This window comes from Homo sapiens, chromosome 6 (genome assembly GCF_000001405.40).
Source record: "Homo sapiens chromosome 6, GRCh38.p14 Primary Assembly".
Lineage (NCBI taxonomy): Eukaryota > Metazoa > Chordata > Mammalia > Primates > Hominidae > Homo > Homo sapiens.
In genome coordinates this window covers 146,780,288-146,800,127 of record NC_000006.12, presented here as the reverse complement: position 1 = coordinate 146,800,127, position 19,840 = coordinate 146,780,288, and the positions used below count along the sequence as shown (strand labels likewise).

General features: G+C 37.1%; 1 protein-coding gene across 1 annotated transcript in view; it reads right to left on the bottom strand.

The window, feature by feature from the left end:
* Positions 1-19,840, bottom strand: part of ADGB (androglobin) — a 216,491-nt gene that overhangs the window by 15,335 nt on the left and 181,316 nt on the right. Inside the window, exons 30-33 of the mRNA NM_024694.4 lie at positions 17,936-18,108; positions 15,334-15,510; positions 14,416-14,518; positions 11,518-11,739 (exon numbers count right to left, since the gene is read on the bottom strand). Of these exons, the coding sequence (NP_078970.3) occupies positions 11,518-11,739; positions 14,416-14,518; positions 15,334-15,510; positions 17,936-18,108 (675 nt within the window). The remainder of the gene's footprint in view (positions 1-11,517; positions 11,740-14,415; positions 14,519-15,333; positions 15,511-17,935; positions 18,109-19,840) is intronic.

Here is a 19,840-nt window from a genome sequence, read left to right as displayed (position 1 = left end):
ATTTTTAAGAGCAGTTTTAGGGCCGGGCGCGGTGGCTCACGCCTGTAATCCCAACACTTTGGGAGGCCAAGGCGGGTGGATCACGAGGTCAGGAGTTCAAGACCAGCCCGACCAAGATGGTGAAACCCCATCTCTACAAAAAATACAAAAATTAGCTGGGCACAGTGGCAGCTGCCTGTAATCCCAGCTACTCGGGAGGCTGAGGCAGGAGAATCGCTTGAACCCGGGCGGCAGAAGTTGCAGTGAGCCAAGATCGCACCATTGCACTCCAGCCTGGGCGACAGAGTGAGACTCTGTCTCAGAAAACAACAACAACAACAACAACAAAAGAAACAGTTTTACGTTTCACAGTAAAATTGAGAGGAAGTACATACAGAGATATCCCATATCCCCCTTCCTCCTACACACACATTGTAGCCTCCCCCATTATTAACATCCCCTACCAGAGTGGTACATATATTCAAAATCACACTATCTGCAAACAAATACAGTCTCCCTCCCTCCCTCCCTTTCTTCCCTTCCTCCCTCTCTCCCTCTCTCCCTCCCTGCCTGCCTGCATTCCTTCCTTCCTTCCTTTTTTTTTTTTTTTTTTCTCCCCCCAGAGTCTTGCTCTGTTGCTAGACTGGAGTGCAGTGGCGCGATCTTGGCTCACTGCAACTTCCGCCTCCCTGGTTCAAGCGATTCTCCTGCTTCAGCCTCCCAAGTAGCTGGGATTACAGGCACGTGCCACCACGCCAAGCTAATTTTTGTATTTTTAGTAGAGACAGTTTCATCACGTTGGTCAGGAGTTTTCTTTCTTTCTTCCCAGTTAGTGTATCTTTTTAGTTCATTTCCTTGTCTGACTGTATTTTCTAGGAGTCTTGTACATGTTGAAAAAGAGTGGTAAGAGAGGACATCTTTGGCTTGCTCCTGATTTTAGTGGGAAAGCTGCTAATTCCTCGCCATTAATAAAATGTAGGCCATAGGTTTTTTTGTAGAGTCTTTATCAGGATGAGTAAGTTCCCCTCCCACTTGGATCTTCTTTTTCAAAATTATTTTGGCTTTTCTGTTTTTTTTTTTTTTTTTTTTTGCATTTCCATATAAGTTTTGGGATTAGCATGTCAAATTCTGTAAAATGTCTACTGTGATTTTGATAGAGATTATACTGAATTTATAGATCAATTTGAGGGGTATTACTATCTGAACAATAGGTCTTATAGTCCAAAACATAAATGATCTCTATATTTAGATAATTTAAAATTTCCTTTGGTGATGTTTTGTAGTTTTCAATACATAAATTCTACACTTGGTTAAATTTATTTCCGTGTATTTATTATTGATGCTGTTGTGAATAAAACTGTCTTAATTTCAATTTTGATTGTTCATCAATATGTAGAAATAAAAATGATTTGTTTACTAATCTTACATCATGTGACCCTGCCAAACTCACTTATTCACAGTTTTTTTTTTTTCTGTTTTTTAGAAGTTTAGCATATAGGAGAGTGTTGTCGGAGAATACAGTTTTACTTCTTCGTTTCTAAGATTGATGTGTTTTATTTCTCTTTCTTGATTGAACTAGCAAGAACCTCCATTAAAATGTGGAATGTAAGTGGTTACAGTAGACATCCTGCCTTGTTCTTGACCTTAGGCTAAAATTATTCAGTTGTTCACCTTTAAGTATGATGTTTACCGTAGGTTTTTCATAACTAGCCTTTATCGGTCTGAGGAAATCCGCTTGTATTACCAGTTTGTTGTGAGTTTCTTTCTTTGTTCTTTCTCCCACTGTTCGTGCATTATTTTTATATATGTTTGTACATTATAAGCCCAACAATATAGTTTTATAATAATTGTTAAATAAGTAAACAAATGGAAAAATCTATTTACGTTGTCTTCTAAAATTTACCTACATAATTACCTTTCTTTGTGAATGTGAATTCCCTTTGGATGTCACCTTCTTTCAGCCTGAAGGACTTCCTTTTGTATTTGTTTTAAGGCAGATCATCTGGAAACAAATTATCAAGTAAGCACAAACAAGTGCTTGTTTATTGTGAATGTGTTTAAATTTGCCTTAATTTCTATGAATTTTCTTTATTTCCTTTGTTTTCTGTCTCATTAAAATTTTTTTATTCCTTCTTTCTTTAGGCCTACTTTATTACTTTCTATCCAACTTTTTTTTTTTCACTGCTGAATCTCCAACTATTTACTTATTTGTTTATTTATTTATTTATGTATTATCAATAGGTTTTTTGGGAACAGGATATAATGCTTGTTTACATGGATAAATTCTTTAGTGGTGATTTCTGAGATTTTGGTGCACCCATTACTTCAGCTGTGTACATTGTACCCGATGTGTAGTCTTTTAGCCCTCACCTTCCTCTTATCCTTCCCCTAGTCCCCAAGTCCACTGTATCATTCTTATGCCTTTGTGTTCTCATAGCTTAGCTCCCACTTATAAGTGAGAACATACAATGTTTCATTTTTCATTCCTGGGTTAGTTCACTTTGAATGTGGTCTCCAACTGCATCCAGGTTGCTGTGAATGCCATTATTTCATTTCCTTTTATGGCTGAGTAGTATTCCACAGTGTGTGTGTATATATGTATATATGTATACGTGTGTGTGTGTATATATGTATATATATATACCACATTTTCTTTATCTACTTTTTGGTTGATGGGCTGGTTGGTTGATGGGTTGGTTGATGGACTGGTTCTGTATTTTGCAATTGCAAATTGTGCTGCTATAAACATGTGTGTGTAAGTGTCTTTTTCATATAGTGACTTCTTTTCCTTTGGGTAGGTACCCAGTAGTGGGATTGCTGGATCAAATGGTAGTTCTACTTTTAGTTCTTTAAGGAATCTCCACACTGTTTTCCATGGTGGTTGTACTAGTTTACATTCCTACCAGCAGTATAAAAGTCTTCCCTTTTCATCATGCCCACACCCAGATCTATTACTTTTTGTTTTTTTGATTGTGGCCATTCTTGCAGGAATAAGGTAGTATCACATTGTGGTTTTGATTTGCGTTTCTCTGATAATTAGTGATGTTGAGCATTTTTTCATATGTTTGTTGGCCATTTGTGTATCTTATTTTGAGATTGTCTATTCATGTCCTTAGCCCACTTTTTGATGGGGTTATTTGTTATTTTTTCTTGCTGATTTGTTTGAGTTCCTTGTAGACTCTGGATATTTGTCCTTTGTCGAATGCATAGTTTGGGAAGAATTTCTCCCACTCTGTGAGTTGTCTGTTTACTCTGCTGATTATTTCTTTTGCTGTGCTGAAGCTTTTTAGTTTAATTCTCATTTATTTATCTGTTTTTGTTGCATTTGCTTTTGGGTTCTTGGTCATGAAATCTTTGCCTAAGGGGTTTTTCTGATGTTATCTCCTGGAATCTTTATGGTTTCTGGTCTTAGATTTAAGTCTTTGATCCATCTTGAGTTGATTTTTGTATAAGATGAGAGATGAGGATACAGTTTCATTCTTCTACGTGTGGCTTGCCAATTATCCCAGCACCATTTGTTGAAAAGTGTGTCCTTTCCCCACTTTCTGTTTTGTTTGCTTTTTAAAGAACAGATGGCTGTAAGTAATTGACTTTATTTCTGGGTTCTCTATTCTGTTCCATTGTCTACGTGTCTGTTTCCATGAAAGTACCATGCTGTTTTGGTAACTATAGCCTTGTAGTATAGTTTGAAGTTGGGCAATGTGATGCCTCCAGATTTCTTTTTGCTTAGTCTTGCTTTGGCTATGCAGATTGGTCGTGCTTTCACTATGTAGGCTCTTTTTTGGTTCCAAATGAATTTTTGGATTGTTTTTTCTAGTTCTGTGAAGAATGATGATGGCATTTTGATGGGAATTGCATTGAATTTGTAGATTGCTTTTGGCAGTATGGTCATTTTGACAATATTGATTCTACCCATCCATGAGCATGGGATGTGTTTTCATTTGTTTGTGTCATCTATGATTTCTTCCAGCAGTGTTTTATAGTTTTCCTTTTAGAGCTCTTTCACCTCCTTGGTTAGGTAAATTCCTAAGTTTTTTTTCTTTGCAGCTATTATGAAAGAGATTGAGTTCTTGATTTTTTTCTCAGTTTGGTTGCTACTGGTGTATAACAGTGCTACTTATTTGTGTACATTGATGTTTCATCCTGAAACTTTACTGAATTCATTTATCAGATCTAGGAGCTTTTTGGATGAGTCTTTAGGGTTTTCTCAGTATACAATCATGTCATCAGCAAACAGCGAGTTTGACTTCCATGGTGCATATGTACCACATTTTCTTTATCCCATCTGTCACTGATGGGCATTTAGGTTGCTTCCATGTCTTTGCTATTCTGAGTAGTGCTGCAATGAACATTCACATGCATGTGTCTTTATGGTAGAATGATTTGTATTCCTCTGGGTATACATCCAGTAATGGGATTGCTACATCAAATGGTTGAGCTAATTTACACTCCCACCAACAATGTATAAGTGTTCCTTTTTCTCCACAACCTGACCAGCATCTGTCAGGCTATTAATAATAGCCATTCTGGCTGGTGTGAGATGGTATCTCATTGTGGTTTTGATTTATATTTTTCTAATGATCAGTGACATTGAGCTTTTTTTCATGTGCTTATTGGCTGCATGTATGTCTTCTTTAGAAATATGTCTGTTCATGTCCTTTTCCAACTTTTTAATGGGGTTGTTTTTCTCTTATAAATTTGTTTAAGTTCCTTATAGATGCTGAACATTACAACTTTGTCAGATGGATAGTTTGCAAAAATTTTCTCCCTTTCTGTAGGTTGTTTGTTTACTCTGTTGATAGTTCCTTTACTGTGCAGAAGCTCTTAAGTTTAATAAGATTCTACTTGTTAATTTTTGCTTTTGTTGCAATTGCTTTTAGGTGTCTTTGTCATGAAATTTTTGCCTGTTCCCATGTGCAATTGATATACTACATTGCAGTTACTCTGCATTCTGATTCCCCAAGGGATTATTGTGGGTTTTCTTTGTTTAGTTGTTTGTTTACTTAGCAATTTGCTTCTAGAGTCTTATTTCCCCTGCAATTTTCAGCTAATGATGTTTGTAATGATTTTCTTTAATTTTTATTTATTTTTAATCCTGGCTTCCTTGGGGTCACCAATGGGTCAGAATAGGGGTCATACAATGTTTTCTCCAAGATTTCTCTTAAACTCCTTGATTCAGTAAAGCTTCCACTCTTGACAAGGAGACCTTTATGTAGTTTAGGGTACACATTCAAAGTTCTGGCAGTGTACAAAGCTGTCCCCACTTTCACTGGTTTAAAGTCTCATACTCAAACAAGGACAAGTCGATAAGATGGACCCTCTGTAGTCTCTCCTTTTTTGTTGTGGTTCTCAGTTTTAGTAATTACTTTTTATTTAGTTTTATGCCTTCAGTTGATTTTTAGGTTTCTGAAACATTTTAATAATTTTTTTCTAGTTTATTGTTGCTTCTTGCTTTTTTTGGGAGAGGATGTGTCAAGTTCTCACTCTCCTATTCCCCAGGTCCCACCCCCCTTTCCTTAACTATTTAATTTTGCATGTAAATGTGGTTGTAATAGGCCACAGTAATATTTAATATTGAAAATTGCTTAATTTATAATTTGTTAGAAGTTATAACTCATTCAGAAATGTAATTTACTACAAACTTTTAAAAAATATAAAAAACAATAATATCCAAATTATTTTTTAATTTTTTCAAAAATATACAAAATCATGATAAACTTGTGAGGAAACAGTAAGGTTTTTTCTCCAATGGGACAATAGAACACGGGGAGCCACTCAGTTTGCTCCCAACACCCCTTTCCAGCCACTCACCGGAGCTACCTTGGCAAGTACTCTAGGAGTATGGGAAAATGAAAACAATAAACTCACAACCTTTTTAACATACACAACCAGTTCTGTCTACCCAGCCAAGGCATATTCTTCTTATGTGGAACTTCAACCTATATCTGCCTCCTTACAAACTGGACATGCACCTGTACCTTAGTCTTCCTAATCGCCAACATTAACATTACCCCAGGAAATCAGACCCTACCAGTGCCCCTCAAAGCTCAAATCTGTCAGCACAGGGCCATACAACTAATACCCCTACATATAGGGTTAGGAATGGCCACTGCTACAGGAACCGGAATAGCCAGTTTATCTACTTCATTATCCTACTACCACACACTCTCAAAGGATTTCTCAGACAGTTTGCAAGAAATAACAAAATCTATCCTTACTCTACAATCCCAAATAGACTCTTTGGCAGCAGTGACTCTCCAAAACCACTGAGGCCTAGACCTCCTCACTGCTGAGAAAGAAGGACTTTGTACCTTCTTAGGGGAAGAGTGTTGCTTTTACACTAACCAGTCAGGGATAGTACAAGACACTGCCTGGCATTTACAGGAAAAGGCTTCTGAAATCAGACAACACCTTTCAAACTCTTATACCAACTTCTGGAGTTGGGTGACATGGCTTCTCCCCTTTCTAGTTACCATAACAGCCATCTTGCTATTACTCGCCTTCGGGCCCTGTATTTTTAACCTCCTTGTCAAATTTATTTCCTCCAGGATCAAGGCCATCAAGCTACAGATGGTCTTACAAATGGAACCCCAAATGAGCTCAACTCATAACTTCTACTGAGGACCCCTGGACCGACCCACTGGCTGTTTGACTGGCCTAGAGAGCTCCTCTCTGGAGGACACTACAACTGCAGGGCCCCTTCTTTGCCCCCATCCAGCAGGAAGTAGCTACAGTGGTCATCACCCCATTCCCAGCAGCAGCTGGGGTGTCCTGTTTAGTGGGGGGATTGAAAGGTGAAGCCAGATTGACTTCCTGGGTCAAGTGGGGACTTGGAGAACTTTTCTGTCTTACAAGAGGATTGTAAAATGCACCAATCAGCACTCTGTAAAACACAACAATCAGTGCTCTGTAAAACGCACCAATCAGTGCTCTGTAAAATGCACCAATCAGCGCTCTGTAAAATGCGCCACTCATCAGGAGTCTAAAAGTAGCCAATCGTGGGGAGGATTGAAAAAAGGGCAATCTGATAGGACAGAAACAGAACATGGGATGGGACAAATAATGGAATAAAAGCTGGCCACCACAGCCAGAAGCAGCAACCTGCTTGGGTCCCCTTCCATGTTGTGGAAGCTTTGTTCTTTTGCTCTTCACAATAAACCTTGCTACCACTCACTCCTTGGGTCCATGCCATCTTTAAGAGCTGTAACACTCACTGCGAAGGTCCGTGGCTTCATTCTTGAAGTCAGCGAGACCAGGAACCCACTGGAAGGAACCAACTCCAGACACAACGGGGTGCAAACATTAAAATGATAATAAATGTTTTCAAGTGTTTGAGAAATGTCTTGAAGACATTTTGTGCTTGGAGATAGGCTGCTTGGTCTAGGTCCTCCTTTCCTGCTGACTTTTATCTTTCCTCCCTGTTCTTATTTCTCCTCTCTATGCAAAAGTATACCCGTTCACAACTACGTAGACTTTATTGCAAATGTCCAAAGACTCTGATGGCCAAAAGTGTGAAGAAATTAGGAGCAGATGAGCTGAAACTGGGGCTTGAGCTTCCATGCCTTACAACACTGGTCTGGGACTCTGGGTAAAAAAAAAAAAAGTCTGTGCTGTGACTGCCCCTGGGCTGGTATAAAATGATGAATCATGATTATAGTCAATTTTCTCAATTTAAAGATTACCTTATTAGTTTCAGAGCACAGTGCAGACTGCATGGGTGTAGGTTGGTGCAGCCTTGGAGAAAATATTGATGAAAGAAATTGAAGGTGACATAAATAAATAGAAAAACATCCTGTGTTCATAGACTGGAAGAATTAATGTTAAAATGTCCATACCACTCAAAGCAATCCACGAATTCAATACAATCCCTACCAAAATTCTAATGTCGTTCTTCAGAGAAGTAGACAAAAAGATTCCTAAAATTTGTATGGAACCCCAAAAGACACCATATATGCAAAGCCATCTGGACCAAAAATAACGAGGGAGGCATCACCAGACTTCAAAACATATTACAAAGCTACACTAATCAAAACAACATGGTACTGGCATAAAAACAGACACATCAACAAATGGAATAGAGGCTGAGTGTGGTGGCTCACGCCTGTCATCCTAGCACTTTGGGAGGCCAAGGTGGGAGCATAGCTTGAGCCCAGGAATTCAAGAACAGCCAGGGCAATATGGTAAGACTGCATCTCTACAAAAATTAAAAAAAAAAAAAAAAAAAAAAGCAAGGTGCAGTGGCACATGCCTGTAGTCTCAGCTACTTAGGAAGCTGAGGTGGAGAACTGCTTGAGCCCAGGAGGTTGAGGCTGCAATGAGCTGTTATTGTGCCACTGAACTCCAGTTCGGGTGACTGAGCAAGGCCCTGTCTCAAAATAAAAACTAAACTGAAAACAAATGGAACAGAACACACAATGGGAAAGGGAAATCTCTTCAATAAACGGTGTTTGGAAAACCTGATATTCACATACAAAAGAAATAAAATGGACCCTTATATAAGAATCAGCTTAGGCCAGGGTGGCTCATGCCTGTAAACCCAGAACTTTAGGAGGCTGAGGCTGGAGGATTCCTTGAGCCCATAAATTTGAGACTAGCCTGGGCAACATAGTGAGACCTCATCTCTATAAAAAATAAAATATTCACCAGAAATGGTGGCATGCGCTTATAGTCTCAGCTACTCAGGAGACTGAGGTGGGCAGATCACTTGAGTCTGGGAGGTTGAGGCTGCAGCGAGCCATGATTGAGCCACTATACTCCAACCTTTCTAAAAATAAAACAAAAACCAAAAATGATCAACTAAAAATAGATTAAAAACTTAAACATAAGTCCAGAAAGTATAAAACTACTAGAAGAAAAACAGGAGAAACAGCCCATGATATCAGTGTGGGCAATATTTTCTTTGAATATGATCCTAAGAGCACAGAAACAAAAGTAAAAATAGACAAGTGGGACTGTACCAAACTAAAAACCTTTGCTGTGCAAATGAAACAATGAAAAGTGATGAGTCAACCATGGGTTGAGATAAAATATTTGCAAACCATACATTGGATAAGAGGCTAATATTCAATACATACAAGGAACTTAAGCTACTCAATAATAAGAAAGCAAATAACTACATTAAAAAATGGGTAAAGAACCTGAATAGATATTACTCAAAAGAAGAGACACAAATGACCCACACATATATAAAAAGATGATTAACATCTCCAGTCATCAGAAAAATGCACGTTAAAACCACAATGAGATACTACCTCATACCTGTTACATTGGCTATTATAAAAAAAGATGAGAGATAACAAGCATTGGTGAGAGTGTGAATAAAAGGGAACTCAGGTACACTTTGGTGGTACTGGGAATTATTACAAGCCATTTGAAACACCAGTATGGAGGTTATTCAAGAAACTAAAAGTAGAATTACCACATGATCCAGCAATCCTGCCTGTGGGTATATATCCAAAGGAATTAAAATAAGTACGTAAAAGAGGTGTCTGTACTTGTATGTGCATTACGTTATTCACAACAGCCAATATGTTGAAAGGACCAAAGTACGCATCAGTAGAGGAATGGATTTTTTAAAATGTGGTATGTAGACACAATGGAATGCTCTTCAGCCTTTAACAAACAGAAAATTCTGTCATTTGCCACATTATGGACAAACCTGGAGGACAAGATGCTAAGTAAAAAAGCCAGCCACAGAGAGACAAATGCGGCATGATCTCATTTATATGTGGAATCTAAAAATGTTGAACTTGTAGATATAGATATTAGGATGGTGGTTACCAGAGGCTGGGGGGTCATAGTGTAGTGGACAAGGAAAGGGAAAATGTTGGTCAAAGGGTATAGTTAGTTTCAGTTAGCTAGCAGGAATAGGTTCTGGTGTTCTATTGCATAGCTTGGTGAACACAGCTAACAATTTATTGGATGTTTCAAAATAGCTCAAAGAGTGGATATTAAATGATCTCACTCCAAGGAAATAATAAGTATTTGAGGTAATGAATATATTTATTAGCCTAATTTGATCATTCCATAACCTATACATGTATCAAAACATCCCATTGTACCCCATAAATATATATAATTATTTGTTAATTAAAAATGAAATTTCAAAAAGGATTACTTTGTTAGCACATAAGTAAATAATTTGATATCAGAATTTAAGTTGCATTGTTTTGGCTACATTTTTCTATTTTATAGATCTTTAAATTAACTAAGGATGAGGAAAAGTTTGTGTTCAGTTCAAGATCACAATATATGGAGACCAAAGAGCTGGGTGTAAGTCCAGGTTCTAGCCAAACTGCATCAGTTTCCTGCCCTTGGGTGAGTTATTTGCCAATTCTGTCATTTTAGAAGTGGAGATAGCAATATATGCTTTCTCTAATTCCTGGAATCTCAAGTGAGATAAGAGTGGAAAAATTACTCTACAAATTAAATATTAATGGTAAATGAAATGTGTTCTAATGAGTTTTACTGCTACCATCATGTGAGCTATTACCTATTGAATGGGCATGTACTTTCAAAATATTGGTTAAAAAATATCAGAATCTCTTGTTAGTATAGTAAAAGATTCCTTTTAATTTTAGAATTTTCCTCTCAGTATGGAAATCACTTAAGGACATACTTTAGCTTTAAACACTTCTTAATTTAAAAATTCTCAGAATTGTTTAGCAATTTTGAGAAAAGAACCATTGTTGGCTTTTCTGAGAATGCTTCTTTCTAAGATTTCTTTCTTTGCTGTCTGGGTTCAAAACAAGTAGAAAAATAGAGTAAGATTATACTATTGATCCAGGTTTAATCGGAGGATGTAGCTTGATGTGAGAGACAAATGGGCCATGATCACCTGAAGCTGACTGACTGTTCCAGCACAGTCTAGGTAGTGCTCACACCTGAGAGAGAAGCAGTGCTTCCATGGGCAGCCTCATTCATTCTCTCCAAATGCATTAATAGGACATTTAGTTCCCTTTAAGACAGAAGGAGTTGAGGAGTTGCTTAGGAATTCATGGAAACCAGGAGTGTGGAAAGGCATTTTCCTTTGATCAGGGTTTTAGTTCAGTTTAGTGAACAGATATGAATCCATATAGAAATGAATCAGGTCAGGGTGACTTGTGCACCACTGAAAATTGCTCTTTTTCAACATTTAAAAAATGACATTCTTAAAATTTGCTATGAAAGGTAAAAAGGAAATCTATCTTGTAGCATACTACAGATAACACAAAAAAATCTGTGTTTAACGAGAAGTGTATGTGTGAATGCTGACATTTTATTTCTAGCATTTGTAGACACAGAAAACCTATACACAGAAAAAATACACCTGCAAATCTGTAGGGGGGCTTTTGCCCACTTTTGTCTTTTGGTTAATATTTAGTAGTCAGGTCCTTGAGCAAATTCCCAACTCCATTAAGTAAAATGAAAATCTATATATCGGAAAGACATCTTTTCTACTTCTATAGCCCTAGCCGTCACTGATGTTTAAGTTAAAATCTTTTCCATAATTTTTATTTGAAAATACATGTTTATGTTACCAATGACAGCAATACTTACGAATGTTTTCCTTCCGTGTGCTCTGCTCGCGCTCTTCTTTCCCTGGTGAAGACACTCCTCCACTTTCGCTACTCGTGGATTTTGCCACATCCCTCAAGCCTTTGGTCAATTGCCACTTCTTCCACACCGCACTCCCTGATCCTGTTTGTGTCATCTCTTTGCTCTCTGAACCTGCAGAATTCTTTGAGTTTGGTTCTTTTACGCCACGTGCAGCTGTTTCTACTACAACATGACATGTGCATTACTGAAAAAGCTGGCGTTCCATGAAATCACATGCAAACAGTAACAGGGCTTGATGATGGGAGCACAGATTTAGAGCAGATGACTCAAAAGCTCTATAACTTCTAACCAGAGCACTAGCAAAAGTAATGACTGTCACCCTAGAAGGCTGACCCAGGCAGGAAGTGTGTCTGAAAGCTGCCTCCATATATTAAAATGTCACATAAAAATAGAGGCTTTTAGAAGTTGGGACAGCATACATGGAAATAGGATATTTGAATTATTGGGGATGCTGTGAAGGTCGGCCCTGGAGGAAGTACAACTAGCCCTATGCTGACAATGCTTCATAATAGATAGGGTGTTCCTCTCTGCAGGGGGATCCCTGTATGCAGACATTTATTTAAAATTGTCTTAAAATAGAGCTGAACAGAGCTCTTTCTTGTGACATCATAAAGCTGGGAAGTTTTTTCTTGATACTCTGAGTCTATTCAGTGTTCCAGATCCCTAGCCTAGGAAAAACTATGTAAAACCTACCATAATTTCCTCATTATATAGAGACATTATTTTCCTATTTATCAATTGCAGGTGACCAAATTCATGTTATGTTCTGCATTGAATGAAAGGTGGCAATAGGAAAGTACTTAAGAGCATGAAGAAATGTTGAAATAAGAAAGGTGGCAATAGGAAAGTACTTAAGAGCATGAAGAAATGTTGAAATAAGAAAGGTGGCAATAGGAAAGTACTTAAGAGCATGAAGAAATGTTGAAATAAGAGGCAGATAGTCAGTAGTCAAAAGTCGATTCCCTAAAAATATTATTAAAGTTGATATATCCCTAGAGCAAGACTGATTGAGGAAAAAAAGGTAAAAAGGAAACTTATTCCAGTAAGTTGAACCTACATAAAATAGACAAATTTCTTATAAAATGAAGCTTACTATTCCAGGCACAGTAAGAAATAAAATAACTAAATAGTGAGACATACGGGGTACATATGAGTCTAAATTGAAGTTCAAGAATAGGCAAAATTATTTGATGGTGATGGGGGTCAACTAGTTGTTACCTTGAGGGAGGAAATGACTTGGAAACAAACGAGGAGGACTTTAGTATGTGGTGTTTCCAATCTTGATCTAAGCAGTGGCCACTGAGTATTCACATGCAAAAATTAATCGAGCTGTACAGTTACAATTTGTGGCTTTTATTGTATGTGTGTTCTATGACAGGGTCAGGGTCTCTGAGCCCTGTTCTCAACTAGGCCTTGTCCTTGGCCTGCTGACCCCAGTTTTAGCAAAAAATCCTGCTAAGTCAGTTTATCCAGAATCCTTCCCCACTTGATATCAAATCAAGTTCCTCTTTCCTGACCCTTGACACCTAACCAAGTTCCTCTTAGTAATTTACCATCTACTCCCTCACCTGGACTGTTGGTTTTAATTCCCCACTTGTTCCTGTTGTATCTACGGTTGAATTCAATCTTTCTCTCCTACTTCAGTAGCCTGGAAGTAGGGGAGACTTCCCCTATTTTTGGTCATGTTTAATGTATTCAGTGTAATATTTTATACACATACATTAAAACAAAATATAAAAAAAATAATAAATCTATAGCCTAAAAGACAAGAACTGAATCCTATTCACCTTTGTTTTCCTAGCATTACATTAGACTCTATTAGAGGAGTGAGTACTTGAGTTAGAAATATTTCAGATCCCAACTTCATCACTTTTGAGATGGATGACTTAGGAAGAATAAGGTGGCTCTCTGAGCTTTGGTCTCTTTATCTCTAAGATGAGTAGACTAAGTAATACATACCTCATAGTTGCTATAGGTTAAAGTGAGGTAATAAATGTAAAATGCTTTGCCTATCCCAGGATAACAGAATTAGGATGGTACTTGCTATTCACACTGTTCATATGAAAAGTTAAGAGATATTATTTTTATAACAATTATTGAATTACATTCCTGAATATACAAAAATGGAAAAGCATGATTTGGGATGTGAACGCCTTCTGCCTCCACGGACACCTCAGTGTGGCAATCGATGTAATCAGTCAAGTAGCTGTGAGAAGACACTGGCATTATGAAGGGCCTGTCTGCAGGCCAATTCTGTCTCTGGCCCTGAACTTAGACTATTACTGAGGGTCTCTGGTGCCTGTGTCCTTATTGATAAACTGGAATAATATTATAATATATACTTAAATATATATAATATAATATATACTTAAATATATATATATACTAACTTAAATATATATAAATAATATAATATATACTTAAAATATATATTATATACTTAAAAATGACTTCTTTTTGTTATTGTTTAAGTCTGGTACCTTTCTAATAATAATATAGTAGTAGACCTACCTTCAAGTTTTATACTGCTACTTTCTAACTAGGTTGCATCATTCTTTCTGGTTTTATCATTTGTTAAATGGAGAAAATCACATCTCCTTGCACAGTGTGTGTGAAGGGGGAGATGTAGGACTTAAATGGGAAAATGTGTGAAAGTGATTTGAAAATTGAAGCACTATTCATATAGTTATCTGAAATTGTGCGACTTTTTATAATCCTCAAGAAACGAGATTCTGAAATGTCTCCTTTTCACCAAGCACAACCCACTGATTATTTTTTTAAGAAGTGCAAATCACAGCTCTGTGCTCTGAGGCAGCTGGGGTGGTAGGATCCACTCACCTTCTTCTTTTGGTTTAGTTTGGCTTTCAGATATAGGCGGACTCTCAGCATCAGATGTTTTCTTAATGAACCCGCTAAGGTAATGCAAACGAGCCTGAGAAGCCTAAAAAACAAACATGAGCAGCTTTTTAAAAGCTCTTCAAAAGCAACAACCAGTACAGGTAATACATGTTAATGGTATTCAATCGAAAACGAAACAGGAAAATGTGAATTAAATAGGGCAGTCTAAATGAAGCAGACCAGCTCTTCTTCATTATCAGATAAACTCAAATTCTGAATCATCCATGATTTTGACAGTTATTTTTGAGAATAGATGAAGAAGCAGCCCTAAAAAGAATACATTTCTGGGCATACTATCTTAGATGCAGTGGTTCCTGAATCTTTTTCATCTGCCCAATAACCCTGAGTTGTGACATGAAGCACTTACATGGTAATAGTGTCACTATGGCAATCGCTCTTACAGGAAATAGGTCAGAGACTCTCTAGGGTCTCTAGACTCTAGAGACTAGGTGTGTATATTCCACAAGGGGGCAGCACATGGTTTTTAATCCATCTAAGGCTGCGCAAAGTGTAGTAAAGCACATATTAAACATTTGAATGCTTTCTTACTTGGGGGTGTTAAGAGCAGACGTGCAGAAAGCCAGGGCTATGTGAAAGAATGAGGTAACCCATAGTGTGGGCCTATAATTGGTACCACCATGTGCTTTGTTTTTGCAAGTCCTTTGGGTAATCAGGAGGGTAACATTTTACAATGTGTCCAAAGGTGGTCCTAACGTAGTTATTCAATGCCTGTCTGATAAAATTTCAGATACCATTACTAAAGGACAGGCTATATGGTTTTTACCAGCATGACTATTTTTTTCAGAGCATGCCTAAGGAGGAAAAGTAAAAGATGACAGCTTTTCGAAATCAGGTGACCTTGATTGCTCTTCCTGGCTCAGTTGTCTCCCAGGCTTGTTTCATGGCTCGGATTTCATCTGCCCTTTCTGTATCCTTTTTCACTTCAAATAATTCTGATTCATTGTGTTCAGTGACCAACCTCAAAATCCAGTAGGGTTTATTTGGGTCTTCTTGTTGAGGGTGAACAGTGGATATCTGATAAAATAAAAACCTTTGGGTTTTGCATGCTTTCCTTCTTTCAAAAGGGTCTAGATTTTACCATATGATACATAATTTCACTATTAGGTATTTACTAGAGATAAATGAAAACATATATTCACAAAAGACTTGTACGAAAATGTTCATTGCAGTCTTATTCATAATACACACAAAAAACCAACATATATGTCTATCAATCGAGGAATGGATAAACAAATTGTAATATAGTCATATAATTGGGCTCTGCTTAATATTAAAAAGTAATAAACTATTGATATACACCACAGACAGATATTATACTTTGATAAAGAAGTCGAACACAAAAGGGTACATCGTCTTGTATGTCATTAGTATGAAATTCCAGAGCAATTTAGGCAAAACTAATCTATGGTGACTGAAAGATCAGTTGTTACCAGGAGATGAGGTGTGAGAATTAGAAAATTGAATGCAAAGAAGTTTGAGATTATTTCCATAAACTCGGGAATTATCTATAATTTATATCTTGATAGGGTCATGGATTACATGGTGAATACATTGATCAAAACTCACTGAATGTTATAACTGTGATTTGTGCATTTCATGTATGCAAATTTTACTTAAAACTGTACACATTAAATTATAAATTGTAATTATGTTCACTCATAGCATCTCTTCATAAAAATGAGAGTAGGATAGTTGATCATTTCCAGGTCTGTATATACTTGCTACATATTCATCATGAAAATTAACAACATTTTAATGTCTCATGGGATCACCTGCATGTATCATAGGCTGGGAGACAAGTTTTACGTAGGTGAGGCTCATAGGTGGCAATTGGGTAGGAAGAGAGGATTGAAACTATTGTGGTTACATAGCACTTTACATAAGGTCGAGGCTATGTCAATTATCACTGATAAATAATGCAGCTGGGAAGAGTGGATTGATATAATCACTGAATACAGTTTCCACCTGCAGTTTGGTTTTAGTGTTACCAAATGACCTTGCTTTCTACAATATTTCCCTAATATTCTGGTGAGAATTGACTTTCACAATTGGAAATTATTTTATTTCCTCCTTTTAACACAGGGTATATTAGCTTTTATTATTTTTTAAATTGCTTAATACATGAATTTATCAGAGACTTTTCTGGGATCAAATTTTGATCAGGAAAGGGAGCACTGTGAAGGTACTAAGGGAGGTCTTCTTGTAGGAATCTATGGATTGGGTTAATCTTATTTACTTCTAAGGGTAGACTTCAGCTAAGAAATGAAATCTTTGAAATCTATAGGAACCATTCCTGGAGTCTGAAACAACAAGTCATCATCTCTTCTTATTTGTTAATTTTCCTTTATTGTCTATTTTCTTAATGGTACTGACATCCTACTCAGCTATTCCTGCTGGAAACCTGAGAGATATACTTTGTTCCTTCTTGTTCCTTAACACCCACTTTGGATTAATAACTGCACCCCACCTTTTGTTTTCCAGATACTTCTTGATCTGTCCCATCCTTCCTTTTTTCCTGTTCCTGACACACTTTGCACTCTTTTGCTTAGATTACTGAAGTATTTTCTTGAATTATCTTCCTCTCCTGTCTTTTCTCCTTTAAGTCCACACCCTTAAAAGCCACTAGGGTATCTGAAATGTAAATCTGATCATGTTAATGTGCTTCTTAAATACCCCTAGTTCCAGTCCTGCTTAACCTAGGCATAAATGGTGGGAAGATTTTGTACTCATAGGTATCTTGTTTAGAGTGCGCTGTTTTTTGGTTACTTGAAAATCTTTAGGCCTGTGCTTGTACTCCTCAAGTTTGCCATCCACATCCTTTTCCTTACCCCTAATCATGGCAATTTTCTAACTGGCCCTGAAGGAGTTTAGACTCATAACCTCTGGACTGTATATAGAGTCCCAGCCTTCCAATGACGCTTTAAGGCCCTTTTCCAGCTGACCCTTACTGACCCCTCCAGCCTCATCTCTCATACTTTAATGCTTCAAAAAACCAGGTTGAGTTTTCGCCTCATCACGTCTTTGCTTATTAACTCGGTTCAGAACTCAGTTCCTCCTGGAAGGGGCTGTATTAGAACCTATCCTTTCTACCACTGCACATATAGCATTCAACATTATAATTCTCAGTTTACCTTCAGTCTCCTCCATTATTAGACTGTGAATTCTTTTAGGGTTAGTACTGAGTCATATTTATCTTAGAAACCCAAGTGCCATGAATAGTGTTCTACATACTAAAGGTTTAATTGATAGTTTTTGATACTGAACTAGAAAAGGGAGCTTGAGGAAGGTGTCCAAGGAATGTCCTCAAAGTATCTAGATGGTTTCTGGAATCAGGGAGAAAGAATGTTTCACGGTTTTGTCCTCAGACGAGATAGGCAAATAGGAATCCACTGAACCTAAAATCATTAAGTCACTCAAATAAAAAAAATTCCACACCCACCTGAGGCTCAAAGCGAGGTGCTTGTTTTTCTTTGGCTGTCTTTTCTTTCTCAGAAGACTTTTCTTTGCCTTTCCTTGTTGTTTTGGAAGTTACTGAAGATTTTTGTCCCTCACTAATAGTGTGGGAGTCTGGGCTTCCTAAGTTAATTAACTCCTCGTGTCTTTCACCATAAGCTAGAGAGACATAAAAATAAAAAATGGTGAGTCATAATATAACAATAAAATGGTTTCACAGGGGACAAGGGAATCAACTCAGGGACATATGGTTAAGCTAATAGATTTGTATTTTTTCAATCACACAGATTTTTATAAAGGCCTGTTGGACTCGTTTTCATAAAATCTACATATAATTCATATACCAAACACTCACCATTGAGTGAGTGGATGAACCCGCAGGCTTTGGTACATTTATAAGACTGTGTAACCATCACCACTATACAATTTATTTCCAATATGGATGCCATTTGTTTCATTTATTGCATAATTGTGTTGGCTAGTACTTGTAATACAATATTGAACTCATTTACCTCTGCTGTAATCTTTATTATTCCCTTACTTCTGATTGGTTTAGACACAGTTATCTCTTCTTTTTCTAGTTTTCTAGTTTTTTAAGATGGAAGATAAGTTATTGATTTGTGATCTTACGTCTTTGTAATACAAGCATTTGTAGCTATATATTTCTCTCAACACTACTTTTACTGCATCCTCGGTTTTTTTTTTTAATTCATTTCTAAGAATTTCTTAATTTCTCTTGTGATTTCTTCTCTGTTCCATTGGTTAAGAGAGTATGTTGTCTAATTTTCGGGTATTGTGAAATTCTCCAATTTCTTTTTTTTTTTTCTTTTTCTTTTGAGATGGAGTCTCACTCTGTCGCCCAGGCTGGAGTGCAGTGGCACAATCTTGGCTCACTGCAAGCTCCACCTCCCGGGTTCACGCCATTGTCCTGCCTCAGCCTCCCGAGTAGCTGGGACTACAGGTGCCCGCCACCACGCCCGGCTAATTTTTTTTTTTTTTTTTTTTTTGTATTTTTAGTAGAGACGGGGTTTCACCGTGTTAGCCAGGATGGTCTTGATCTCGTGAGCTCGTGATCCGCCTGCCTCGGCCTCCCAAAGTGCTGGGATTACAGGCGTGAGCTACCGCGCCCGGCCTCCAATTTATTTCTTATTGCTTCTACTTCCTTTCAATTGTGACCTGAAAACATATTTGTATAATATTCCATAGTTTTACTTTTATTTAGACTTGTTTTGTTGATTTATACATGGTCTATATTGCAGAATGTTCCATATGCCCTTGAGAAGAATGTGTATTCTGCTGTTGTTGAGTGGAGTATTCTATAGGTATGTTAGGTCAAGTTGGTTTACAGAGTTGTTCAAGCCTTCTATTTCCTTGCTAATTTTCTGTTTAGTTTGTCTACTCATTATTAAAATTGGGGTATTAAAGTTTCCAACGATTATTGTTGAATTGTCTATTTCTTCTTTCAATTCTGTCAGTTTTTGCTTCATGTATTTTGAATTCTGTTGTTAGGTTTATGTATGTTTATAATTGCTCTATTGCTTGATGAAGTACCCTTTTACCATTTTAAAGTATCTTTTTTTTGTCTCTATTAACATTTTTCATCTTAGACCCTATTTTGTCTGGTATTACTATAGCCACTCCAGGTCTCTTTTGGTTATTCTTTTTATGGTATTGTTTTTTCCATATTTTTGCTCTCAAACTATTTGTATTTTTGAAACTATGTTGTTTACAGAGAGCATATAATTAGGTCATGTGTTTGTTGGCCATTCAGCCATTTGCTGCCTTTTAACTTGAGAGTTTACTTAACTTACATTTAAAATAATTATTAAGATAGGATTTATGTCTGCCTTTTTATTATTTCTTATGCACTACACCTTGTTTTTTATTTCTC